This window comes from Homo sapiens, chromosome 3 (genome assembly GCF_000001405.40).
Source record: "Homo sapiens chromosome 3, GRCh38.p14 Primary Assembly".
In the NCBI taxonomy this organism is placed as follows: Eukaryota; Metazoa; Chordata; class Mammalia; order Primates; family Hominidae; genus Homo; species Homo sapiens.
In genome coordinates, this window is record NC_000003.12 from 42,245,058 (window position 1) to 42,273,023 (window position 27,966).

The window sequence follows — 27,966 nt, forward strand, 5'->3', positions numbered from 1 at the left end:
TAAGCTTCTCAATGTATTAATCCCAACCATTTCGCTTTGTTCCTCCAGCCCTAGAGAGGCAAGGACTCTGATTCCTGCCACTGCGAGTACTATGTTATCTCAATGTTCCTTTTTGCTTTTTCAGTCTTCCAACACCAGTTTAAGTAATTCTCTGCATTCCCTAGTTTGAACAAAAGCCAGAGTGGTAGTCCTTGTTACTGATTAGTAATTGTGACTTCACTCCTCTACCACCTATTTCATGTTCCCTTTGTCCTCAGCTGCTCAGAATTCTTTACTCAGTGGGAGGAATACAAATTTTCATTTCAGAAAGATCTGAACCATAGGTGGCCGAGCATATGTGAACTTGCAAGGAACATGGAAGGCGTAGTGAAGCAAGGAAATAATGATTACCAAGTATGGCCTCATGACCTGTTCAGAAACAGGGACTATAATGCATTGTTGTGATTACCTATATAAACTGTAGGGTGGAAGTGGGAAGACTAGTTAGGAGGCTTTTACAGTAATCCAGGGGGAGGGAGAGTAATGGCCCAGACCAAGGTGGCAACAGTGGAAGTGGTGAAAAGTAAGTGGATTCTAAACACATTTTGAAGCCGACAAGATATGCTGATGGATTAGATGAAAGGTGTAAAGGGAAGGGGGGAGTCAAAGATTGTTCCAAGGATTTGGGCCTGAGCAATGGGAAGGATGGAGCTGCCATCAACTGAGTTGGGGAAGGCATTAGGTAGAGGAAATTTGAAGGGAAAGTCAAGAGTTCATTTGGATATATTGAGATTGAGATGCCTGTTAGCCATCCAAGTGAAAATGATCCCTACAGCTTTGCCTTTGGAACAGATCTGTCTCCTCCCACTAGAATGAGAAAGCCCTGATGTCAGTCTGTTTGTCTCTCATTTCAGCATCTTTAGTGCTCAGCACAGTGCCTGGACCATGATCATTTCAGTAAATAGCTTTTGAATGAATGAATGAATAAAAAAATGAAAAACTTTGGGGGTTCTCATATATGCCAAAGTTTGTCTTATCCAGGTTCCAACTCCACCATTCTTTTCCAGAAAGAATAAGATAACCATTTTATTCTGCACACTGTGGCCAATATTCACTGGAAACCTGTCTTGTTAGTTTACTAATTGTAGATGAAATCTTTCTCCCCTGAAGTGGAGAAATCCCTCAGAGAGACAAGAGCCTTCCTCCCTCCTGTTAGAAGCATGTCTCAGCCTGGATTCAGCTGGAGACTTGTTCTGACTAGAAGATAGGGCTTTGACAATGGTCTCAGGTCTGGGAGAGTCTGAGGGCACGGTGTGTGCAGTAGAATCCTCTTCTTCTCTTCTTCCCTGTACATGGGTGTGTTTTTTGTGTTGTGGCTTCTCATAGGAAACCTGAGGTAGACCCAGAACAGTTTCCCTTGGAGCTTCTCTCTCTGCCCAAGTTCAAATCCCAGTAATTACGGAGTCCCAATTCAGTACTTCTGATAGGAAGCAAAAGTAAGGTTCATCCTATCCCCAGTGTCCAGTATAGAACAGGAGGCATTCATTTGGACAGTTTCACCCTAATTCAGCCACAGTTAGGACTCCCGTGTCAGGCTGCCTCTATAGTGCGCTGCCTGTCTTCCTGCACCCTGACCTCTGGCATCCCCTCCTTTGAGGAGACTTTCATAACTCCCAATTTTGGTTTATGAGTCGTTGCTATGCAGGGAGAAACACAGGAGGTGAAGGTGAAGGTGGGGAGTTGATTTGCTATTAACAAACTTCTGTATCTTGATTTTATGTTCAAAATACATGATTACATGTACTCGATGGAACTTAACATTTTTGCTTATTTGGAATTGTTTTTTTCTTTCTGCTTTTCTTCACTCAAATCTGGAAAGCATAAGGTGCTCACTAATTAGAGGTAACCATAGTTACCAAGTTGTCTTCAAAATACCCCTAAGAGTTCCTTTTTATTTTTTGAGTTCTTATTCTACAAAAAGCATTTCACTTGTCAGTCTTCTTTGTTCTCTTTTCAGTTTCATGGGGTGATGTTCCAAACCTGGAAGACTTTTGGTAGCTCTGTTAAAAGTTCAAAAGTAAAATAATGAAATAAACTACCTATTCTTAGAAAATAGTCCCATGCCTAAAATTATCTGGTTTCAAAATTTCAGCTGACTGGGTAGCAACGAGAAATAGACCAGAATCCTGCAAATTTCAATGTGTATACAGTAGCTTCCCATTATCTGCTATTTTGCTTTCTGTGATTTCAGTGACACATGGTCAGCTGTGGTCTGAAGACATTAAATGGAGAATCCAAGAAATAAACAATTCATAAGTTTTAAATTGAGTACTGTTTTGAGTAGTGTGATGAAATCTTGTGCCTGCTTGCTCCGTCCTGCCTGGGAAATAAATCCTCCCTTTGTCCAGCAAGATCCATGCTGCATATGCTATCCACTCATTAGTTACTTAGTAGCTGTTTCGGTTATCAGATCTAAAAAACACAGGATGTATAAGGTTCAGTACCACCCGCAGTTTCAGACATCCACCTGCGGTTTTGGAACGTATCCCCCATGGATAAGGGTGAAAATACTGTACAGCTAAAATCCTCAACAGAGAGAAGCTGGCACCCGGAGGAGTGTTTTCTAAAATTTCCACTTGAGGGCGCTGTCGTCTTCTGTCAGGGTAGAACCGACGTATTTTTTTCCCGTTAGGTTAGTTACTGCATGTGAAAAACTTCACTGACACCCAGGTTTCGGTTTGCTACAGTGGTGATTAGAGGTCTCTTAGAGACTGGCACACTAGGCAGCCACCTGGTTGGCCTCCCCTTCATTCAGTCAGCTCTGCCATTCAGCTTTCTTCCAGCCTCTGCACATTACCTGTCCTAGTTCTTGTTTTATTGTACTGCCACTCAACTTTTCTGAATCTCCCACTTGGCTGTGTCTCTGTACCTGCTAAATCAACACAGTTCCTGGCATACAGGTGCATTTCAGTGCATGCTGGTGAGACAGCGAAGGGCTTGAAACAGTCCACAAAAGTTGATGCAGGAGAGCAGTACAATCCTTTCTGGAGTGGGACTCAGAGAAAGATCATGCATGTTGAAGTCATTCCAGCAGCAGTCCAGGGGAGTTGGGGCAGGTAAGGCTTGAACAACTGCTGATTGTGTCTGTTTCTATTTGCCCAGACTGGCATGTGAGCCACAGGAAGGAAAAGATAGAAAGATGCTAGTCTTAGAGCTTGATTAGATGTGACTCTTTCCACTTGTCAGTAACTCTTATTCCCTCTGGAGATTTTCCAAACCAGAAACGTCTTGGGAATCACATATATGAAAGAACCCAAAACTAAGATAATAAAATAAACCACCCATTCTTAGAGAAGAGCCTTATGCCATGAGTTACTGGGTCTTAACATTTCAGTACCTCTTGACCTAATATTTCAGCAAGATATTAGAGTTTCAGCAGAAATTGCCAGGCCCTGGAAGGCTGAGAAAAGGCAGGGAAGCCCTGAAGGCTGTGGCTGGTGCCTTTCTCAAAGATAGGTGGCAGGTGGACAGACAGAGAAGGAGTCTAGGCGGGCACAGCCGGACCCAATTGCTCAGATTGGGCTGAAGTCTTGGGTGAATGGCAGGAGGGAGAGAAGCTAAGGAAAAGGGAAAGGAAGGGAGTTGACAGAAGATCAAAGCAAGGACCCCAAGGCAGGGTGGATCAGGGCAGAAGAGGCTTCAGCCAGGGCTTGGAGAGATGAACCTGGGCCAGAGGCTGGGGAGGCAGGAAAGAGCTGGCCGTAGAAAGACCTAATGAACCAAGAGGCAGCTGCATGGCTGAAGCTGAGTGGTGCCCACGTGGTTACCTTTTGGAAGTGGTTGGTTTCAATGTCTCCCGAAGCTGGGGTTGCAAATATAACACAAATGTGTGAGACTGGCCTGTGAGAGAGGGCATGCCTGTCTAGAGGGGCAGCCAAGTGTTGGCCTCCACATTGTCACCATGCAGAAATGCAGGCTCATCATTGCCAGATTTTCAGAAGAAGATGGGATTTCATTGTGAAATTTCTATATTGAAAGACACTGGTGTTCTGATTCTAGGTAAGATGGGATAAGTGCACTCCAACCATCATTTCTGTTGGTCATAACTCCAGGAGAGAAAGTTTAGAACAGCTATTTGAGGACGGTGAAAAGAAAACAGCAGAAGGAATATTGGTGAAGAACACAGAATTTGAAGTACATCAAACCAGTAGTGAGTTTATCACTTTCCCCACTCTTGTATCCCTTGGTTTGAACTTAACAGAGCTAGAAACTGGAAGTGGGATCTGGGGCACAGACAGCTCCAGGAGAAGTTCTTTAGTTCTGGCCCAAGGAGTGAAAAGGGGAACTCCTAATGTCCAGAGAGATCATGACCATTCTCTCTCTCTTCTCTTTTTCAAAAAAATTATTATCTTTTTCTGTTTCTCATGCCACAGGCCCTGGGCAAACCCACACCTGTAGGGTCAGCAGTCAGTAACGGGACTGACAGGAGCCAAAACTGAGGCAGTGTAAACTTGTTCTTTTTTCAGAAGAACTGTGATCCCACGGTGGGTGAGACTAGCTTCCATTGATATTTTTGTCTCTCTCTCTTCTACTGCCACTTGGATCTGAACATGGGCTACAAACATAGACGTGTGTAGAACAGAGTAACCAGAACCCCAATTTGGGGTGGAGGATCAAAAAGGGGAGCCTCAGGGAACTGAGAGTACCAGGGAGATTACAGAGAGGGTGGAGCTCAGGGAAGTGACTCCATACAGTTATTTATGAATTCCAGGGCTCACTTCCAAGCCATACATGTTTGGATCTGGTTTTAATGAGGATACCAAGACCTTTGAGAACTGAAGTAATAGAGAGGTCATCACCTGGTTCCTAGACTGGCTTCTGGGTGGTGCACACCTGAAATGGAGACAAAAAGCAGTTTGAAAACTGAGTGGATGTTGACATCACAGCGCACAGAAGGTGGGTTGGAACTTGCAAACTGAACCTAACCATGTCCATCACCTGCTAAAACAAAATATTAACATTTTTCGTAATATTTAAACAAGATCCAGAGTCTCACCAAATAATATCTAAATTGTTCAGGATAAAATAAAAAAATACTGAGCATACAAAGAACCATAACAATTTAGGTTACCTTCGCCTTTATCCCCCTGCTGTGCATTGCAGGTTCTGTGTCGTTCTCCAGCTGCTCCCCATCCCACCCCAATTTTCTTTGAAAAAGACAATCCACAGACACAAATGATGAGATTTCACAGATGTTGGAATTAGAAGACAAAGGCTTTGAAGCAGCTATTATAAAAGTGCTCAAATGAGCAATTGTGAATATTCTTGAAACAAATATTAACATACAAAATCTTAGTACGGAAATAGAAGATATAAGTGGAAATTTGAGAACTTAGAAATATCAGAACCAAACCAAGAAATTCACTGGTGGACTCATTACCAGAATGGAAATGATAGAAGAAAGAGTCAGTGAACTTAAAAGTAGATAAATAGAAATTATTCACTGTAAACCATAGAGACAAAAAATAGAATAAAAAAAAAGAACAGGCCTCTCTGACATATGCAACAACAACAAAAGGTCTACCATTTATGTCATCAAGAGCCCAGGAAGGGAGATGAAAGACAGTGATGCTGAAAAACATTTAAATAATGTTTTTAAATGTCCCAAGTTTGGTGAAAGATATAAACTTACACCTTCAAGACTTGAATAAACCCCCAACAGGGTAAACACAAAGAAATCTACATCCAGACACATCATAATCAAACTACTGAAAGCTAAAGACAAAGCAAAAATCTTGAAAGTAGCCAGAGAAAAATGACTCATTATCTGTGGGGCACAATGATATGAATGACTGCAGGTTTCTCATCAGAAACCATGAAGGCCTTAGGTAGTGATACAGTATTTTATTTATTTATTTATTTATTTATTTATTTATTTATTTATTATTTTTTAAGAAAGGGTCTCACTCTGTTTCCCAGGCTGGAGTGCAGTGGTGCAAACACGGCTCACTATAGCCTCAACCTCCCAGGCTCAAGTGATCCTCTTGTCTCAGCACCCCAAGTAGCTGGGACTACAGCCACATGCACCACCATGCCCAGCTAATTTTGGTATTTTCTGTAGAGACTGGGTTTCACTATGTTGCCCAGGCTGGTCTCGAACTCCTGAGCTCAAGCAATCCATCCACCTTGGCTTCCCAAAGTGCTGGGATTACAGGTGTGAGCCACCAATCCAAGCCTGTGATACAGTATTTATAAAGTGCTGAAAGAAAATAACTGTTAACCTAGAATTCAAAATCCAGCAAAAATATCCTTTAGGGATGAAGGCAAAATAAAGACATTCTCAGATGAAGGAAAACTAAAAGAATTCATAGAAGCAAATCTGTTCTAAAGGAACTGATACAGTTCTCCTGATAGAGGGTATGGTTCCATCCTAGCAGCTGAACTTGTGGCCCTTCTGTATTATCCCTACCTTGTTGAGCCTAAAGGTTGCCACTCGGTGTGAAGAATGGACTACCCATGTGACTGAATCTATCATTTTCTATTTATAAGGTAAATGCAGAGATTTCAGACTACAAAGTGACCTTCATAGGCCAATGGTGTTTCTGGAAACCTGTGAGCAGAAAAAGGACTTCCACTCTGAGGGGTGGCAGCATAGTCACTTGGCTGGGGCAACTGGTCTCTTTGGCAATAACTGCTTATCAGAGAGGTTCCCATGGCATCCAGGCCCTGCAGGATGCTGTTGAGACCCTGTCAGGTGAGAACAAAATGGCAGTAGTGTGGCCCAGGCTCCCATACTGAGGACGGAAGGCACCAGAAGACAGTAGACACTGGTCCAAAACCTAGAGGTGTGCACAGCAGATGGAAAACTACTTTCTGCCAGCAGAGGTGACATTTTCAGGGGGCTTCATGGCTTTAGTGAGAGAGAACCAAGGAACTGGAAAGGATGGACACTGTGGGTGGCCACACACACAAACCTCGGCGACTGGCAAAATCATCTGAGGAGAATTGAATTGTTTCCTTGGCAAACGAAGTGGTTGAAGAACTATTTTTATGGCTGTTCTTATGATTCTGTGTTTCACTGTAGACTGGCACAGCCTAGAGAACATGCGCTATGGTTGTTATAAGGACAATCTACAAATATTACAAGTAATTTGGAGAAGAGAAAGAAAAGCACCTGTGATCCTATAACCCTGGCATGACTATCATCATTTTCACATAATCTCATTCATTGGAAAATAAACTTAATATGAGGTTGAATGAGCTGAGAGGACCTTTTCACTTTACATGGGTCACGATTATTTTCAGTGTTTCTACATTGTCCTCATACTCATCACTTAAATAACTGCTTGATTAAATGGATGCACTTAACTAATTCTATGTACATTAATTTCCTTAACAGCTACCCCTCACTGTGGAACACTTAGGTTGTTTCCACTTCTCTAATATTCTGAGTAAATGCAATGAACATCATCAATGCTCCTCTTTTTCCTTCTTTGAGATTGTCAAGCCTTTCTGGATTTTTTTTTTTTTTTTTTTTTTTTAGGTGGAGTTTCACTCTTGTTGCCCAGGCTGGAGTGCAATGGTGCGATCTCGGCTCGCTGCAACCTCCACCTACCAGGTTCAAGTGATTCTCCTGCCTCAGCCTCCCGAGTAGCTGGGATTACAGGCATGCACCACCAAGTCCAGCTAATTTTGTATTTTTAGTAGAGATGGGGTTTCTCCACGTTGGTCAGGCTGGTTTCAAACTCCTGACCTCAGATGATCCGCCCATCTTGGCCTCCCACAGTGCTGGATTACAGGCGTGAGCCATTGCGCCGGCCACCATTCTGGATTTTAACTGCAGCAAAAGAAATAGGGCTGGATGTGCATGTGTGTGAGTGTGCGCGCGTTTGGGTGGGTGTACTTTAGTGCATACCACCACTCTCCACAGATGCCGTGCACGCTGCCAGCCATTTTTTTGTGTGAGTGCTCTGTTTTCCAATTTATGCCTATCTTGGGGGGACTTGGCCGTGTCACTGAGCCTGCTTTACTTCTCTGATTTTTAAAACAAATGGTCTGATGAAACTGCTTCTAAAGCCAGTCTGTGACCTGAGTAGCGGGGATCCTGACAGATTTTTCCCTAATTGATTAATTAATGAACTAATTAATTAAGTGAATATTTTCTGAGTATCTACTATGTGCCAACCCTGTATTAAGTGTTAGGAATATAGCAATAAACACAGCAGATGAAAATCCCTGTCCTAATAGAGTTGACAGAACTTTGGTGTTCTGTATTCATTGGTGAGACAGAATCAATGAATAAATACATATACAATGTAATTCCAAGAGATGATAAACATGCGAAGAAAAGTAAAGCAGGGAAGGGGAGAGAGGGTAATGGAGGAAATTTTTGTTTCTTAAAAGAATTTTTTTTTTTTTAGAAATAATGTCTCGCTATGTTGCCCAGGCTGGACTTCAACTTCTTGGCTCAAGTGATCCTCCCACCTCAGTCTCTCGAATAGCTGGGACTATAGGCATGGGCCATTGTGCCCAGTTCAGAGGAACCTTTTCAGAGAGGATGGTCAGGACAGCCTCTTTGAGCAGGTAATTTTGGGGTTGAATGAGCTGACAGGTCCAGCCGTGCTTTTGGGAGGGAGAGTGAGCCGGGCAGAGGGAACAGTGGTGCGAAGGCTCTGACTTAGGAGTGAGTTTTGTGTTTTGAAGGAATAGCAAAGAATGCAGTGAGGCTGGAGTGAAGTGAGTGAAGAGGGCAGTGATGAGATGAAGTTAGAGAGGTGGGGGTGATGATGAGGCTGTCTGGGGGAGGTCTGTCCAGTGTGGGCCTTGGGGATGGTGGGGAGTCCAGGGCAGGTGCATTCTCATCTGGGACCCCCTGATCCTAGTTCTGTGGGAAGATATAGATCAGAGCAGGAGACAGACACAAACAGATCATTTTACTATCTGGTGAGAGATGTTTTTGGAACCTAGAACACAGGGGAAATTAGTGAGGCAACGATTTTCTCTCTTTCTGCTTGACTTATGCTTTATTTATCTTCAGGACTAGCCATAATTTGAAGATGCTGGAAAAAAATATTCACAGTCTCTGGAAATCTAGCAAAGTGATCAGGATTCTTTCCTTTGGCACTTCAAAGCAGAGTCAACAAAAAAAGCTGGGGGCGTTTTTTTGTGGTTATATGTTAAAAGTAAGAATGAACTTATACTGTCTTTCTTCCATTTTTCTTTCCTTATACCTGGGTTTGGCTGAGCCTGAGAGCAAAGATTGCCATTTGGGTTCAGTAGGTTGCTGACAAATTAAGTAAAGATTCCCTCATTTGTGGGTCAGATGTCTTACAGCCTGGTTTTGGTGAAGCAAATCTTGGGAGAGTGAATCTTGTCCACCCTCTGGCTGCTGGCCACATGGAGATGTTAGTAATTGCGGGTCAGGGCAGGTCAGATCTCCTAAGCCAAAGGTCCAGAGGTATCAGCGAATGCAGGGACTACCAGGCAATTCTTCATGTCTCAGCCTGGCAAGGAGTTAATTCCAGAGAAAGCTGCAGGTTCCGTCACTAATTCATTGTGTGATCTTGGGCAAGTTTATTATTTGTAAAATGGGAGTGGAGGTAGGGTAGGGTGTGGGCTGAGCCAGAGTGATAGCCATTGCTCTCTTCAGCTTTTAAATTCCAGTGGGTCAACAAAAAGGAAGCTTCTGAGCAACCTTAATTGGCAGAGCTGAGGACACAAACAGCAGGAATAGCTGTAGAGGGATATGGCCTGGGTGGAGTTCCTGCAAGCCCAAGGGATTCCAGGACAGCTAGCAGGAAAAGAATGGTTAGCGAGGGGAAGAGGGATGGAGGGGGAAAAGGTTGGGAGTGATCTTGCCTAGGATCACACAGCTGGGTAGAGGAGGAGGAGGAGGAGGAGGAGGGCAGGGCAGCGGGCATGGCTTTGTGGTTGTGTGAGTTCTGGCCTCTTTAAAGTGGAGTTTAGGAGTGGCTGGCTTCTCTGTAAGAGTTGCTCAGCTTAGTTGCAGAAGCCTGATGTGGACCCCTGAGAAACGGCTGAGGAAGTCCTGGGTTTCATGTCCTGGTTCCAGGGACCCTGCAACAGCAGGTGGCATAGAGATAAGAGCAGGGCCCCTGCAGTTAAAAGGTGCTGTCCTAAATCCAGCATGGCACTGAAAGCATTAGGGGGACAGGTCTTTAGGCTCTCTGCCTCCCCTGCCCAGGGAGCTCCATCAGGCCCCCTCCAAGACTCCACACATGATCACACATGCTGATTCCACCTTCATTGTGTAGGTGCAGCTTCCAGACAAGGCTCAGAGGCCCTTCTCTGCCAGATGGTGGCTCTAAGTCCTTTCATAGAGAAGTTCCAGAACCAGCTGCTTATATCCTGGCACTGCCGTTTGTGGGCAGCATGTGCACCTCCAAGACACTTAACCTCTCTGAGCTCCTGTTTCCTCTTGGAGGAGTGGAATCATGATTACCTTGCAGGATTGGGACTGTCTCCTAGGTTGATGCTTGTGAGAATCTTTGTACAGCACCCAAGAGGAGGCCAGGAATGTTCTTTCCTTTCCCTTTCCTGCATTAGAAGAAGTTGTGAAAGGCTTGGAAGTGGGCAAAGGGGATGACTGGGTGTCCTTTCAGTGGAACACTGGGCATTTATCTGATGCTGCTGGGGTCTGTGTCTTTGACTGGGTGACTTATAATCCCTGGAAAACTGATAGAAATGCAAACAATTCTTGCCTATCAAAACATAAGTGTGGTGGCTCACGCCTGTAATCCCAGCACTTTGGAAGGCAGAGGCAGGTGGATTGCTTGAGCTCAGGAGTCTGAGACCAACCTGAGCAACATAGCAAAACCCCATCTCTCTAAAAAGTACAAAAATTAGCTGGGAGTGGTGCACACACCTATAGTGTCAGCTACTTGGGAAGCTGAAGTGGGAGGATTGCTTGAGCCTGGGAGGTTGAGGCTGCAATGAGCTGTGATTGTGCCACTGCACTCTAGCCTGGGCAACAGAGCCGAGACCCTGTCTCAAAAAACAAAAACAAAAAACCCCAAAACCTAAAGAAACATAAGTGAATATTGTCCTCTAATGATACAAGTAACTTCTGTTATGGATAACAGATTATTCCAAACAGTGTAGTTTCTTGACCTATGGATATGAACCAGTTTTCTCTCTGTTAGCATTCCTGGCTGTCTACACATGTCTATCCTTCAGATTCTGCTTTGAAATGATTGTGACATCTTACTGGTTCCTTTATTAATTGATGAGTTAAATGATATCTTTGACATATGTTCATTTTGTGTTGTATGAGTCATGACTTTACCTTTGAAAATGGTATTTTAACACCCACTTCCTTGATGATTCATAAATCAGTAATTTAGATCAGACTTTCACCATCCATTCCCCACTGCTGATTCTATATTAAATTCCAAGTCCTTCACTCATCCCCCATCCCCAATACACAAACAGCACACACACACACACACACAGGCACATAACCCCTATACACCCATAAAACTAGTGATTTTTGCAAGGGGAGGTGGCACTAAAAACCCAGGCATCTGGATATTTTAGACTGAATGGGGGTTGGATACCTAAGATATGAGGCAGCCTTGGAGACCAAGTGTAGGGACTGAATGAGGTGGTACCTCGGGAGGGACTAATATAGTGTTCCCTATTTGGAGTAAGTTTTACACTGAATCCCAACTTCAGCTCAAGTGAAAGAATTGTACTGACCAAGTCTTCCTGGGCCTCCCTCCCAGTGTCCTGTCCCCAACACTAAGGAAGGTGGCACTGAGTGCCAGTAGCGAGTGGTACCGGGCTGGGTAAGGTTTTAGATTTGCCAGTATTGTTTTCAATGTATTTCCCTTGGGGGCTGCCAGGTTCTGTTGCACTAGGCACCTGGGGCCTCTGCTGGACAAGGATCAGAGGGTCTTGGAGGCCTCAGCAGGAAGCATGGAAAGGTTGCACTGGGGGTGGTGGGTACTGGATCATCTCTGGGTGTCGCCTTGGACTATTTCCCCTCACTGATTTCTACAGCGAACCAACAGACAGATTGGCTTCTGCTCTGTATAACTACCAGAGTCTCCCCAGCACTTTGGAGTCCCACCAACTCCAAAACATGGCGGGGCTCAAGGAAAAGCGATTATAGGCTCTTATCTGCACCACTGCAGCTCCAAGTGCGGTCTGCAACCAGCAGCATTGACATCACCTGGAGCTTGCTCAGGCTCCTGCCCAGACTTGTTGAATCAGAATGTGCAGTTTAACAAGATTCCCCGGGTGATTCCTGTGCACTCAGTTGGAGAAGTGCTAGAGTGATGAAGGTCCCGATAGCCTAGGAACATTAAGCCCTCCAGTCTGTGAATCTCCTTAGCTGGGGCATAAGGGGCAGTCACTTTCACTCTTCAGAGCCTGTTTCCTCATCTGTAAAGAAAGGATGATAACTTCTGTGCCACAGAGCCATGGAGTGATCAAATGTATGCAAAACCATGGCCAGTTACTGCCTGTAACTTGTTTAAAGGCCAAGAGAACCCCAAGGAAACCCTGATGGGAGTAGGATTGGTAAATAAGATCGGGGATCAGGGTGGCCAGGGCTGGGCTCTGGAGTTGCCCACAGATGGCCCTTTCACTGTCCACCTGGCCTGTAGCAAAGTTAGCTCCAAGTCTGAGCTGCATTTCCCAAGCCCTTTCTGGGGACATCTACTACAAGGATTTGTCCCAGTGTAGCATCTATCAGGCTTCCCTCCTTGCATGTTCTGAGGACCAAATGGAGCCCTTTGCCCTCAGTAGACGCAGGGAACGACAGGGCAGAATGAAATCACTTTAATAGCATAACAACATTTTCAGACCAGGAGTCACAGATGAAGAAAACATTTTGTCTTCCATTTGCACAATTCTGGTGAGGTGTGTGGTTGCACTGGACAATCTTACAGACACATTTTTCACATTGAGAACTTAATAAATAGATACATACAATGTCAAACTCCACAGACAATGAGTTATGAGTGTGATTGTTTTCTTATTCTGCCTCCTCTGGGTTGGGAGGTTGCTTCCCGTTGGGCTGATGGCGGCTGGGTCCTCTAGGAGGGGTACTCATACTCCTCGGCACTGCGACGGCCAAAATCCATCCAGCCCATGTAGTCCCGGTCACTTATCCTGTGGCTGGGGTCCAGGTTCTGCAGGTTCTTAACGATGGACATTCGTCCAGAAGGAGCTACAAGGAGCAGGGAGGAAGGAAACAGGGACATTGCATCTAAAAGCATCTCTAGTTCAATTTGGGAAGGAGAGCAATGGAAAAAGCCAGACGCAATATAACAGACACCACCTTAAAGGTATCAAAGAGCTATCAAAGTAGTGGAACTGATGGACCAAAATCTGAGAGAGGAGAAGGACCAATGTCTGTGTAACTGGAGAGAGGACAATATATTTACAAGTTAGGGGTGTGCTTTGCGTTCTGCAAGTATTTAGGTGGATTCATTTTCTCTAGCCTTGCAGTCTGGGGACTTGCCTAGATTTTCCTTAGTCTCCCTACCGTTTGCTTTCTTTTGGTAGATGGGTGTTTTCCTTTTGTAGATGGCATCAGCAGAAACCAACCAAAGATTTTTCCAGTACTTAATTGTTCCTAAATTCATCCCTTAATATCCATCAACATTCCTGACTCCTGGAGAGCTCTTGTTATTAAGGTGGCACAATTATAATATCTTGATGTTGGAATGGTTAAAAAAAAATCGTTGGTGGGAGTGTAAATTAGTTCAACCATTGTGGAAGACAGTGTGGCAATCCCTCAAGGATCTAGAACCAGAAATACCATATGACCCAGCAATCCCATTACTGGGTATATACCCAAAGGATTATAAACCATTCTGCTATAAAGACACATGCACATGTACGTTTACTGCAGCACTATTCACAATAGCAAAGACTTGGAACCAATCTAAATGCCCATCAATGATAGACTGGATAAAGAAAATGTGGCACATTTACACCATGGAGTACTATGCAGCCATAAAAAGGATGCGTTCATGTCCTTTGCAGGGACATGGATGAAGCTGGAAACCATCATTCTCAGCAAACTAACACAGGAACAGAAGACCAAACACCGCATGTTCTCACTCATAAGTGGAAGTTGAACAATGAGAATACATGGACACAGGGAGGGGAACATCACACACCAGGGCCTATCGGGGGGTGGGGGTTAGGGGAGGGATAGCATTAGGGGAAATACCTAATGTAGATGACTGGTTGATGGGTGCAGCAAACCACCATGGCATGTGTATACCTATGTAACAAACCTGCATGTTCTGCACATGTACCCCAGAACTTAAAGTATAATAAAAAATAGATAAATAAAGCTCCTTTGCTACATAAATACTCTTTTAAAAATATGAATTTGAAAGTTATATTCAGAAAGCTTTTGTCATTTATCAGTAAGTGTTTTGAGTTGATGATCATTTTATTTTTAATGATAAATCAATATCAATTAAAAATGATATTCAGAAAAAGACTGTCGGATTAAATCTTGGCACCTCAGTAAGACTCAAAGAAGGGGGGGAGAGAGGTGATAACAAAGGTGATTTAAATCAGCAATTTTGACCAAAATGCAATAACTGAACCTGAAATTGTCCCATTGGGATGGAAGTTAAGTCTTCAGGAACAGTGTGATCCTTTTGTAGAGCTCACACTGAGTGAGCAGGGACATGAAGAGGCAGTTTATTTGGAGACATGAGACAGTCCTAGCTCAAAGTTCATAGACAGAAGCCTCCTGGGGTATGAAATCAGCAGAACACCTTCTCCTGTGCAAGCTCAGTCTTAAGAAAGGCCCTTCAGGGACTTCAATGGACAAAGCCCAGGCCAAATCAAGGGTAGAGGAGTGGAGGACCACTCAATGACTCCCACTGTGTTGGGGGCCACTGTATCCCCACCTCCTGTCATGCTGGTCTATATCCCTTCTGCATGAGGCTGCCCTTGCCAGCTCCTACCCATAGGCTGAGTAGAGTCAGACTATGGCTTATGTGTTGATAAATGAAAATGCAAAGGCAGTTACCCTGGGTAATGAAATTAAGCAAGTTTAATTAAAAACAGAAACAACACAGAACAACGTCCCCACCCTTTCTCTCCCCAACCCCAACCCTTCCCAGTTTTGGAACCAACAGTCAATTCAGCACATTTCAGGTCTTTTTGCAGATATCCTCAGCCTACGTAGAAGAAAAATAGCCCCTGCTATTTAATTGTTCATCATTCAGGTGAAATATTACCCTTGAATTCAGGAAAACCTATAGACCCAGTTACCTGTACACAGTCACATGGAAACATGACCCATCCTTCTGCCTGCTGTGATGATGAGTGCCCACTCTAAGGCCTGGGCACAACCCAAATTTCCATCTAATGGAAGCAAGGTGACAGCTTCAATACGAGCAAGCAGCCTCAGTTAACGGTGGGGGCACCATGTTCAGTCATGGAAGCTGCATTTATCACACACCCTGACTTCCCCGTTCCACGTACAGTTCTGTCCTCATGTCATGTGTATTTACCAGGGTCCTCACTCACTTTCCCAGTGCTGACATAGAGTAGGGGCTTACATCTGATGTATGGAATTGATCAAAGCCTGATTCCTATGGGCCACAAGAGATGGACGGGCCTCCCTCTGAATCACACAAAGAATTGGAAGGGGCTTATTGGAAAGCTAGCCTCGGGACTGTCTGCATGTCACTCAGCTAGTGGGCTGCTGAATCACCTTATTCCTGGAGAAAGACTTTGGTGCTGAGAAAACAGTGACTTTCTTAGCTCTTGCTAAAACTGAAGGGTTTAGCTCTTTTAAACTTTAAAATGTGGAATAGGCAGTACAGCTAGGAAGCTGAATGGCTTCCAGGCCCTCCTGGGGGGAGCAGGACTAGATAGAGTCTCAGCCCTGCTGTTGCGTAGATATGCAACTGCATGTAGGTTACTCAGGCTTTTAGAGCCCCAGCTTCCACACTGGCAAAATGGGTATAATAATATTCACTGTGCAGGGCTGTTGTACTGAGAAAGACAATATAGATGTAGCATTGAAGCTTTGCTGGGCATGGGGGAGGCGCACACTAAATGCCTCTAGATATCTTTACCCACTGCCCTCCAATAGAATTGTTTCTTCTTGGGCCATTGAAAGTGCTGCAGATATTTCCTAATGATAAACTCTTAAGTACTGCTCAAAGAATGCATTGTCTTGTTTAGAACTTTTAAGAATAATATATACTATAGTGGAGCAAAAATCTGATATGATCTCAAAATATGTAAAATATTCAAAATATGTAAAATATTCTATATACTGCACATATAGAAACTGTGCAGTATCTATATGTGTAAGTATTTAGTCCTAGTTCATGTTTGTCACATAGAAGAGTTTGCTTGTTTTTTAGCTAGAGTTGATCCTAGGTGTTGGCATCTAAATTTCCAAGTGATTGCTATTCCCTCCTGGGTTTGTTTGGCACAATTGGCTGAAGGCAAAGGGAGAGGGGGGCTGAGAAGAGGGACTAGAAAGAACTTTCCAGCTAAGATTTATGCTATAAGAGCCATTGTCTAGTATTGGTTCTAGGAAATAATTTGGTAATGAGCTTTTTTTTTTTTCTTTTTTTTCCCTAGAGCAATTTTGGAACCAAGACTCAATTCGGCACATTTCAGGCCTTTTTGCAGATATCCTCAGCCTACATAGAAGAAAAACCAGGGTCTTTCCTAAATTGGAGGAGGGGAGTCCAGGTCCACAGTTAAATGAAAAGCCTAGGATATTTCAGACTGGTCTGGCTGAAATTCAGCCTGTATCTGGGGACAGATACTAAATTATTTTCAGGCAGAGAATCAGCAGGAACTCAAAAGCTTTCAGACTTTCTCTCTCCATCTGAGAAGTATTTCTATCTTTTTCAATTTAATTAGCAGGAAAGCAAAACACAAGGTGGTGGGTGGGGCAATTTCCCAAAGACAGGAAGAAATACAACAAATCACTGATTTGTTCTTTCCTTCTGAAGCCTCTGGGTCAGAGTTCCAGTCTTCCCTTCATGTGAACCCACAGAAGAACTCTGCAGAGCCAAAACTCTTCATCTTATCCCTCTCTGGTCAAGCCAGGGGTTAAGGTTCAAATCCAGGCCCTGGAACACCAGTTGGGTAAGAGAGCTTCATGGAAAAGGCAACACACCTACCACATCCCTTCCAGCAGTGTTTGCTAAGTTCTTTTTTTTTTTTTTTTTTTTTTTAGACAGTTTCACTCTTGTTGCTCAGGCCAGAGTGCAATGGCACAATCTCGGCTCACTGCAACCTCCACCTCCCGAGTTCAAGCTACTCTCCTGCTTCAGCCTCCCGTGTAGCTGGGATTACAAGCATGTGCCACCATGCCCAGCTAATTTTGTATTTTTAGTAGAGATGGGGTTTCACCATGTTGGTCAGGCTGGTCTCGAACTCCTGACCTCATGTGATCCACCTGCCTCAGCCCCCCAAAGTGCTGGGATTACAGGTGTGAGCCACTGCTCCTGGCCTGCTGAATTCTTTTAATGTCCAGCTGTGTTTGTACTGTTCAGCACACTGCTCCACAGCCGGTGTTCATCATTAGTGTCACTGGGGATAAAGTTGGCAGAAAAAAGCTGCCCCAATCCAAAGCATGATTCCTATGGGTCACAAGAGATGAATGGGCCTCCCTCTGAATCACACAAAGAATTGGAAGGAGCTTAGGGGAAAGCTAGCCTCAGGTCAGAATTGCCTGCATGCCACTCGGCTAGTGAGCTGCTGAATCACCTTATTCCTGGAGAAAGACTTTGATGCTGAGAAAACTGACTTGCTCAGCTCTTGCTACAACTGTGACCATCTCTGCAACAGTAAAGTAAAAACAAATACCTCTCTTGTTGGGTAATAATTTGTAAGTCATTGCAAGGAGAACACAAAACTGCTGCTGATTCTTTCCTTCTGTTACATACTTTGGTGGAAATGGACACATTGTCACTGCTTTTTTAAACTGTTGTAGCCAGATCTCAGGCATTCTCAGCATTGACCCCTTCCTGCTAGAGGATTTCCAAGGGTTGGTATCTGGGTGGCTCCAAGGTCCTTTGCGTTTTCAGTAGAGGGTATTCACTGTATCTAGGAACCCTTTCCTAGGCTTCAATAATTATCTTTTAATGGCTTGGTAAAATGGTGTTGAACTTAATCAGCAACACTGCTAAAAATTAGTTCAAAGAAAGCTTTTCAAGAAGGTTCCCCTTACTTATAAATTAAGTCCTCCATACCCCTTCTCAGATTGCTACAAAGGACCGCCAGAAATCATGTTGCTTGTTTCCTACCGAGAGAGGTCATCCCCATCAGGCTAGCGCTAGAGAAGAGGGTCAGCATCGGGAGCCTGGGAACAAGGGCAGAAGTGAGGGATGGGGAGGCAGCATTCTTACCTTTCCGGGCCTGCTGGATGTATCTTGCCAGCAGGGCGCCCAGGTGCGCTCGGGACTCGCCATCCGTTCTCTGCGATACCCTCAGCTGCCTACGGGGCGCCTCCTCTGCCCGCTGCAGCCCGGAGCCCGCGGGATCTGCGGGAGGCACCGGCTGCGTCAGGGCGCCAGCCGCCAGTACCGCCATCAGCACGCACAGGCACACGCCGCTGTTCATGGCTGTAGCGAGCAAAGGAGGAGGGCGCGTTAACTGAAAGGCTGGGCAACAGAGCTCCTGCGGCGGGCCGGGCACCCAGAAGCGGGCTTAGGACAAACACAGGTGCTCCAGACCCGCCAGGCCGCCGCAAGCACGAGGGCTCGCCAAGCGCTGACCCCAGCCGAGTGCCATGGCGCGCGCCCCCGGGCGCACCTGGCTGGTCTTTGGGAACTCCTCACCCAGCGCCAAGGGGCAGAGACCCTGTTTTCTGCCGTGTTGAGCAGAAGGAATGTTTTTGCTTTCCTAAAGTTTGAGGAAGTGTTTGCAGAGTGCCTCTCTTCTAACCGAAAGAAGAAAAATAAAACCCCACGAGATTAAAAATAGTGTGAAAAAAATATCCTAAAGGGAAGACTCCGTGGGAGAAATGAGAACCCTGGGGAAAGCACTTTTCCAGATAGCTAACAAGCTTTCAATATGGAAATACAGTAAATGATGAAAAAGAGAAGCACAGTTTAAAATGTAGGAGCAATAAATAAAGCCGTATTTATAAAGTTTTTCTCAAAGTGTACGTGGGAAATGGCAATAAGCCACTACGCAGAACATAGGCAGGTTTTAAAATCAGAAATATGTGCCCAGCGCTCAGGCTTCGAAAGCCCCGTGCATTTTAGATCGCTAGTGGATAAAACACCCTCAAGTTTCTATCCGTAAAGCCTCGAAATTTTCTGCAGTATTTAGAAAATGAATTTAAATCTTAAAACCCTCTAATATTTTATTAGAAAAGATTGCAAAGTCCCCCGCACCGCTGTGTAACAGCTAGCAAACTCAATCTGCATGCGAATCTTAGCGAATGGGTAGTTCATCCCTTAATGATGCTGGCGTATGAAAGGCTCTAAAGCAGCTCTACCCACCCAGACCTCACTTTTAGACCCAGAGCCGTTATTTCTGACTTCAAGAAATGTCTTTCGAGCTCTCGGAGGGAAGACACAGAAAATAGAAAAGCATAATGGAAATGGGCACAAAGCTGAAGACAGCATCCTTCAAAGACACACGACACTTGGATCCCCCGCTGACGAACCGAGGGACCTACCTTTTGGATTAGGACGCAGCTGGCTTGGCGTTTCCAACCGGAGCAGCCCGGCAGCTGAGCCAAGTTCAGGGAGGACCAGCGGGCGGCTGTCTCTTAAATAGCCCCACCCGGCGGCGTCGGCCAGTCATGTATTTACCCAACGCTGACGCAGACTGGCAGTAACACGTGCTCAGAGGGCGGCCACTGGGGCGACAACCGGTTGAAGTGGCTCCTGGGAGAGAGGGGGAGGTGGTCTAGTGGGGTGGAGTTAATCCCTCCCACGCGCGGTGCCGGGTGTCCGCCCCCTCTGGGTCCGAGAAGCTTCCGCCCAACCCTTTCCAGGTGCCGCTCCCCTGCGCATTCCAGAGCAGTACTCTCCAAGGTGGGAAACCTAGGAGTTTGGAGTCTCCTCCGGGATGGAGAAGCTGCCGCTAGCTTAGTTCGCTTTGGGGACCGGAGGGGCTAGAAAGGAAACTGGGGGCGGGGGTGGGGGGTGGACACTGGGCAGGACTGAGCATCAGCAAGGCGTGATTCTGAAAGGGAGGGGGCGTCGGCCCCCTACCCCGGAGCGTCCGAGGCGCTGGTCTTCATACCTGTGTCGGCTCTTTCGAAGGAGAGAGGAGGAGTCGGGGTCTTCACTTTCTTCTCAGCCGCATTAAAAGCCCTCGCAGTTCTCCAGGTTTCCGAGGGCCAGTGTTCTGGGTCAGTGAAAGGGCTCTGGCCACAGCTGGCTCTTGGTGTCCTGGGCCTCTCTTGACGCAGCTGTAAAATGCGGATGACACCATCTGGTTTTGCTCAGAGGAATCCGGTTTGGGAAAGGGATGTGTTTTCTTCCCGGGCCAAGTTACCACCACCCGCGGCGCCCACTGTTCCCCGTTGTCGACAAGCGGCGCCAGCGAGGGTCCTGGGGAACTTGACCACCGCACCCCCGCAAGCTCGGGTAGACCACGGCATCCGCCCCTCGCACCTTTCCTGAGGGCCCACACACTCACACCCCCAGGACAGTACCTTCCAGAACTCAGCTGCGCAGCCTGGAGGTGAGGACCTCACCCCTAGTCAGTCACCCGTCCGGTGGAGGGAAGGGAGGCACCGAGGCTGCCGTGCGCCTTTCCCTGCACGCGGTTACTCTCCCGGCTCCGGAGCGGGCCGACCTGGAGCCCCTCAGTGCGCTCTGGTCGTCTACACCCTGAAACCCTTTGAGTTCGAGTCCGCTTGCTGGTGCTTGAGTTCGCCGCGTCCCTGCAAAGGCACTGCCAACCCCATTTCACAGACCGCAAACCGAGGCGCGAGGAAGAGCAGCGCCTTGCCAAGGCTCCACAACACGCCCCTCGCCCTCTCCGTGCACCGAGGCCGCCCAGCCTGGGACCTGGAGATCACCAGGCCTTGAACCTTGGGACCTCAACTCCTCTCCCTTTCTTTCCCCCACCCGTCTTAGATGCAAGGAGAAAGATTTAGAAGCGCTTATTTTAAAATCGGAATCCGTATTCCGCTCTGGAATTCCCTCTGGAATGGAGGGACTGTGGCAACGCCAGTGTGAGGGTGGAGTGGGCGAGGCGGGGTGGGGGGGTTGGGGGGGCGGCCCAGAGACGCCTCCGGTTGCTGCTCCACTTTCTAATCCTGAGAGGCAGCTGCGTTTCTGCAACCTATGGGCAACATGTTTGAAAGAGCTGAAGCTGATTAAATGCTTTCCAGTGGTTTCGCCACGAGCCTGCTAAGGTTTGTGTAGTTCAGTTGCGAAAAAGAGTCTTATTTGTGATTGTGGCAAGACATGTCTGGAAACATAAACTTGTTATCGAAATACCCCCAGAGCTTCTAATTCAGTAGGTCTGAGGAAGGGCCCAAGAATCCGAATTCCTTCCTTCCTTCCTTCCTTCCTTCCTTCCTTCCTTCCTTCCTTTCTTCCTCCTTCCCTCCTTCCCTCCCTCCCTCCCTTCCTTCCTCCCTCCCTCCCTCCCTTCCTCCCTCCTTCCCTCCCTCTCTCCCCTTCCCTCTTTCCCTCTCTCCCTTCCTTCCTTCCTTCCTTCCTTCCTTCCTTCCTTCCTTCCCTCCCTCCTTCCTTCCTTCCTTCCCCCCTCCCTCCCTCCGTCTCTCCTTCTCCCTCTTTCCCTCTTTCTCTCTCTCTTTCTTTCTTTCTTCTTTATTTCTTTCTTTCTTTCTTCATTTCCTTCCTTCCTTCCTTCCTTCCTTCCTTCCTTCCTTCCTTCCTTCCTTCCTTTCCTTGCCTTTCCTTCTTTGAGACAGAGTCTCACTCTGTCGCCCAGGCTGGAGTACAGTGGCATGATCTCGGCTCACTGCAACCTCTGCCTCCCAGGTTCAAACGATTCTCCTGCCTCAGCCTCCCCAGCGGCTGGGATTACAGGCATGTGCAGCCATGCCTGGCTAATTTTTATATTTTTAGTAGAGACAAGGGTTCACCATGTTGGCTAGGTTGGTCTCGAACTTCTGACCTCAGGTGATCTACCCACCTTGGCCTCCCAAAATGCTGGGACTACAGGCGTGAGCCACCACGCCCCACCAAGAATCTACATTTCTAACAAGTTCCCAGGCCATACTGAAAATGCTAGTCCGCCAAGCACACTTTGAGATCATTTCTATAGAAATTCCCTACCTTATACCAGTTACTCAACTCCTGGCCTTGATCCATTTAATTCATGTTTATTCAACACTTACTTTGTGCCAGGCCCCAGGGATTCAGTATGAACAAGAGCTGACAATACAATAGGGGAGCTGAAGCAAACAAGTGGACAAACACTTCTCAACAATTCTGATATTTGGGGACTATGGAGTGGAGATGGTAGGAGGTAATCTTGGAGAAATGTTTTGGTGAGGGGAGCTAGGTGGTAATATGGAAGATGCCCAAAAGGCAGAGGGACTGGAAGGGGAGGGCTGGATAGGAGGCCCTCGGGGATGGGCAAGCAGGAACAATCAAGGTAGATTTGTTTTAGAATAATAAGCCATTATGAAACCCATTAATTATTAGGAAACATAATAAACATTATGCAAGTCATAAGTGTTCATCAGAGAACATTCAGAAAACAAAAGTAGAGAAAAGAAGAAAAATTCCAGCCTCCCAGGGAACAACCTGTTGCTGCTCAGGAAACTGGTAGAGGGAACCGGACTTGGTGACTGAGACTGACCTTGAGTTTCCAGGCTGGGAGACAAGGGTGGGTGGTAGAGTATTATCCAAGACAGGGAATTCAGAAGGAAAAGCAGGCTTGGAGTGTGGCCGTGGTGGTAGTGGGCCAGTGGGGAGCGGGTAATGAGTCCAGTATGGGATTGGTTGATCGTTTGTGCATTGACAGTCTAGGAGGAGTTTGGGAGCCTTTGTCCTGAGCAGAGAGACACTGGAGGGGTGGACCCAGAGTCTGGCATGTGGGTGGTGGCTGCCAGCCTGGGAGTTATAGGGAGAGTTGAGGAAGGCAGCTAGCAATGGGTGGCAGGGTGCCTCTAGACAGACCGCTGAGGAGTGACAGCGTGAAGGAGTGGGTGGAGGAAAAAGAGCTGGTACAGAACCAGACAAGTGGGCCAAGGAGGCCAGCGTGGAAATGCCAGTGCAGAGCCAGAGGTGACAGGGACCATCAGAAGCTGAAGAAGGGCTTGTGCATGGGCCTTTCTCATTTACGATCAAGAGAGCTGCTTGCCTCTTTATTGTAAAATAAAGCAGTTGTAGCCGCTTGTCTCTCAGGAGTGGAAATTCTGAGCAGGAAATGTGTGATAGAAGAGCTGCTAGGAAAATAGAAAGACATAAGGGATCTGAACTCCTTGGCCATAGTCATGATTTTTCCTTCTTACAGGGTCAACAGGTACTAATTATTCTGACTATGGTTCCTAAGCAAGTTAGGCCTGGAGCCGACACTATTCCTGTAATCCAGATGCATATCCGCATTAAAGATAATCCATTTGTTCACTTAAAAAAATGGGCTTGATGTCTCCTGAGGCAGATGCCTTTGGTGCTCCTCACCACAGTTCCACGTTCTCCCTCTGGCTTCAGCTGCAGCCTAGCCAGGCTGGGCAGTTTTCAGCAGACAGCATTCCCACTTCAAGCTTTCAAAGCACCCCTCTTGGCTTATCTCCTTCAAAGTTCAGCCCTTGCAGAGGTTCAGCCTGTAAGTTTGGGTGTTATCTCCCCGAAAGACAATCTTCAGCCAGTGGGGAATGGGAACCCCAGTCTCTCTGTATGAACCCTTCTGGAAGCTTCTAAAGACTTCTCAACGGTCCTTTGCCTGTATCGGTGAACTTGATAACAGCTCTCTCTCTCTTTTTTTTTTCTCTCTCTCTCTCCCTCTCTCTCTTTAGACAGGGTCTTACTCCGTCACCCAGGCTGGAGTGCAGTGGTGCAAACCCGGCTTCCTGGCTTAAACAATCTTCCCACTTCAGCCTCCTGAGTAGCTGGGAACACAGGTGCACACCACCATACTCTGCTAATACTTTAATTTTTTGTAGAGACAGGGTCTCACCATGTTGCCTAGGCTTGTCTCAAATTCCTAGGCTCAAGTAATCCTCCCTTCTCAGTCTCCCAAAGTGTTGGGATTACAAGTGTGAGCCACCAAGCCCAGCTGATAACATCTCTTTAGTTGTTTTTTCCTCCTTCTTTGTCTTACTCTTCTCATTTCTTCCTCCTCTCCCAAATAAACGACATGTACTCAAGTCTGTCTAATTTTAGTATAACCCTATCAAAGACACCAACTGTCTTTCGGGCACTGTTGGGATTCAGTGGTGAGCAAGACAGACAAAATCCCTGTGCTTGTGATGCTTCCATTCTAGTGGAGGAGACAGACAATTTAAAAAATACACAGCAGGCATGGAAGGTGCACACATGTTTTCAAGAAAAGTAGAGTAGGGGGAGGGTCTGTGGAGGACTGGGCACCCGCATGAACGTATGCAAACCACTGCTGGGGGATGCCCTGTTAGGCTGTCTGCTGTGTAGACCTTGCTATGTATGTACATTATGGAGAAATGGTTTTGCTTTTCAGTCCAAATAGAGAAAAAGGAAGTTGTATGGGAGTTCGCACTGTTTGGAGATTGTTTTGTATTTCATCAAATGTGAGACGGTAACTAACTTTTCTGCCAAGCTCATTCTCTTGTCTCAGAAAAGGAATGGAAAAGGCAGTGCCCTCTGTGTCCTTCCCACCACCACCCACTCTTCCCCATCATGGAATGAGACGCACCAGCTGGTCCCTGCCTTTATCTGGAGGACTGAGAGTGGAGGGTGCCATATCCAGATGCCGCGTTGGAAAGGAAATAGTGGAGAGAGGAAACCTGTGACTGTTCACTGGTTTGGAGTCTAGAAATTCCCATCTGATTGCGGTGAAATGAATTTAAGTAAGATCTTGCTCAGAGTTGGGGAGGTATCCCCGAAGATTAGTTCCTGAAACAGATATATTTTCAATACACGATTTTTTTAGTCATGAGACCTAGCTCAAAGACATATGTCAATTTTGTATGTGTAGAAAACTTAGTGGAATTTCCAGGGACATGCTAGAGCCTCCTGATTTATTATTCATAGAATTTAAGCTTGTTACAAGCAAGCCCCACTTACCAGAAGGCAGGAGGCTATTTGCTGTGATCAGAAACGTGATGGTTAGAAGGCTTCTTTTTTGGGTCTTTTTTTTTCCTGAACATGTATTAAAATATTATTATTTGTCCTGGAATTTTTCAAAGTCCACATAGCCAATATCATCTGCCAATATCTGGAATGATTAGACTGAAAAAAGGGAAGTAACTATGGTCATGGTGAAGTGTTTCCTTTTCCTAACGATGAATTTCTTTAGAATATCTTGTCATAGTTTGGGTTCCTACAAAAGCAGAGCCTGGGACAGCACCTGGTTACAGGTAATTTATTTGAGAGTGATTCCAAGGGAGCAGGAGTAAGGGAGAAGGGAAGAGAGAAGACAGTGAAGTATTGAGTACAGTGGATGACTGCTGTGGACCCAATCCCCTGGGGACTCTCTGAGATACCTCTTGGAACATGGCTCATAGCCAGCCTACTTGAGGCCAGAAGGAGAGCCGGAGCACCAACTCCCATTTCCCATTAGTTGAGGGCTGTTCCAGCAGGTGTTAGCTCCCTCTCACTTCCAAATAGGCTTACCTGCTCCTGCAGAGCCAGAGAAAGCCCTCAGGCAGAGAAGAGATAAGCAGATGGCTGAGGTGGGAATAGCTACATGAGAGGGAACATGAAGGGGAAATCAATAGTGGCTGTGTTACTGTCAACTCAGGGTGCTATAACAAGTACCATGGACTGGTGGCTTAAACAATGGACATTTATTTTTCACAGTTCTGAAGACTGGGACATTTGAGATTAGGGTGCCAGCATGGCGGGGTCCTGGTGAAGGCTCTTTTCCTGGCTTACTGATGGACTACTTCTTGCTGTATCCACACGTGGCAGAGAGAGGGAGGTTGGGGGGTGGGGAGAGAGAGAGCAAGAGTGCTAGCTCTCCGGTGTCTCTTCTTATAAAGACATTAATCCTATCATGAGGGTCCTCCCCCATCTGACTTCATCTAAACCTAATCACCATCACCTTCCAAAGTCCCCACCTCCTAATACCATCACATTGGGGGTTAGGGCTTTGTACGAGAAAATCAAATCTCGGAAATCTCAAGATCCCCAAACTCATTATGTCAAGGGGAGAGTTAAGCCTAGAGACTGAGCCATGCAACACTGCCTTTCTTTTTCCTGAAACAAACATCTACAGAGAAGCAGACGGCTGAGGTGGGAATAGCTACAGGTGAGGGAACATAAAAGGTACATTAACAGAGATTGTGTCACTGTCACCTCAGGATGCTATAACAAAATACCACAGACTGGGTGGCTTAAACAACAGACACAACCCTGTGTTTTCATAGCTTTATACATAAGCCAGGTTCCCACAATGATGAACGGCCTTCCACCTCTCTGGATGGTCACCCTCACAAATTGCTCACAAGGGAATTCCTTGCAGGTCTCTAAATCATTCAAGACACATATCCCCCTGTAAAACAAGCACACACCAATTGTAACTTTAGGTCTGTAAGCCAAGTTTAACTCCTAAAACTGAGCTCTCTTCAATTTTATCCTGACAATGTCGTTTATAAGCTTATCTTCCCAGGTACAAATGAAATGGCTTGGCTGTGTCCCCATCCACATCTCATCTTGAATTCCCACATGTTGTTGGAGGGACCCAGTGGGGGGTAATTGAATTATGGGGGCAGGTCTTTCTCATGCTGTTCTTGTGATTGAGAATAAGTCTCATGAGATCTGATGGTTTTATAAGGTTGATTTTCCCTGCACAAGCTCTCCCTTTGCTTGCTGCCATCCATGTAAGATGTGACTTGCTCCTCCTTGCCTTCTGCCATGATTGTGAGGCCTCCCCAGCCATGTGTAAGTGCATTAAACCCTTTTTCCTGTATAAATTACCCAGTCTTGGGTATGTCTTTATCAGTAGGGTGAAAGTGGACTAATACACAAGGACAAGATAAGATCAATCACTTTTCTGCCTGCCCTGAGATGGCTGCATCATCAACTTTTTCCCATACTCCCTCTTTTCAGATGTTTACCTTATGTAGAGTGTAGATTATTTGAGCATCAATCAGAGCCTCAGAAGTAGATAGCTGTTTGCCTCACTGCCTACACCCTTCCCTTCTTTTCTCCTGCTTGCTCCTTCCCTTTAAATACTGAGTTTCCTGGAAAGGACAGGTTGCAGATGCTTCTGTGGCTTGTGTTTTTCCCAGGTGCATCCTCACACTTTGGCTCAATAAACCTGTACTGGGATTTAGACACTTGCCACAGTCACTCACTTTTTGGTTAACAGTTTCAACATATGAATTTGGGGAGACACAAACATTCCGCCCATAACAGAGTAAAACATCCCTGTAAATTAACATTTTATTTGTTCACTGGCATTTCTATAAGGTTGGTGGAATAAAGGAATCCTAAATCTGGGGTGGACCTTGAGGACCCTCTTGTTCAAGGGTCACAAATTCCAACACCACCCAAGGGAGTGAAGAGGGCTGTGGGTGAGAAGAGCAAGAGAAAAAGCACAGAGATCATGGGCAAGTGAAGCTATGGGTGGTGGTTAACCTCCTGGGGCACTCTAGGGGCCAGAGCAGAACGTGGGCCTCAGAGCCATCTCACCCTAGGGTGCGAAGGTGCGTGCATGTCTATACATCAACTCCACTCACTCACTGGCTAAGGGAAGCTCCTGGGGCATTCATTCCCTAGCACTTCTGGCCCACTGAGGATCCAGCCCCCAATGGAAGCCTTCAGAGAAGAGGTGCAGATGCTGGTGACCAGAAGCTGGGCCTGCAAGCACCATGATAGTGAGGCCCGAGGGAATATGAGTGGGGCAGCCACGGAGCCACTACACTCTCCT

The 27,966-nt window shown here is 46.1% G+C and overlaps 1 protein-coding gene and 1 long non-coding RNA gene across 5 annotated transcripts, besides 1 other annotated feature; one reads left to right on the forward strand and one right to left on the reverse strand.

Annotated features, from left to right (window-relative positions):
* Positions 1-2,846: 2,846 nt before the first annotated feature.
* LOC105377048 (uncharacterized) lies at positions 2,847-8,437 on the forward strand. Of its 3 annotated transcripts, XR_007095890.1 has the most exons (5): positions 2,847-3,095; positions 4,039-4,189; positions 4,413-4,523; positions 4,751-4,935; positions 6,529-7,130. It is a non-coding gene; the product is annotated as an uncharacterized LOC105377048 (long non-coding RNA). The 3 variants fall into 3 exon arrangements; XR_940772.3 differs by lacking the exons at positions 4,413-4,523; positions 6,529-7,130 and adding an exon at positions 8,400-8,437; XR_940773.3 differs by lacking the exon at positions 4,413-4,523.
* Positions 10,681-11,880: an enhancer, noted in NCBI's record as "P300/CBP strongly-dependent group 1 enhancer chr3:42297230-42298429 (GRCh37/hg19 assembly coordinates)". NCBI's record gives its function as "activates an origin of replication core promoter dependent on BRD2, BRD4, P300/CBP, MED14 and CDK7 cofactors, with strong dependence on P300/CBP, by STARR-seq in HCT116 cells {active_cell/tissue: HCT116}" and the evidence as "EXISTENCE:reporter gene assay evidence [ECO:0000049][PMID:35650434]".
* On the reverse strand, positions 12,769-21,128 carry CCK (cholecystokinin). 2 transcript variants are annotated; one of them, NM_000729.6, is made up of 5 exons: positions 20,627-21,128; positions 20,212-20,380; positions 19,640-19,850; positions 18,360-18,575; positions 12,769-13,174 (listed from the first exon to the last, which is right to left on the reverse strand). In NM_000729.6, exons 4-5 carry the CDS (start codon positions 18,571-18,573, stop codon positions 13,041-13,043), a joined length of 348 nt encoding a protein of 115 aa, NP_000720.1. In that variant the 5' UTR covers positions 18,574-18,575; positions 19,640-19,850; positions 20,212-20,380; positions 20,627-21,128; the 3' UTR covers positions 12,769-13,040. The 2 variants fall into 2 exon arrangements, with proteins under 2 accessions (NP_000720.1, NP_001167609.1); NM_001174138.3 differs by lacking the exons at positions 19,640-19,850; positions 20,212-20,380; positions 20,627-21,128 and adding an exon at positions 18,766-18,890.
* Positions 21,129-27,966: the final 6,838 nt, after the last annotated feature.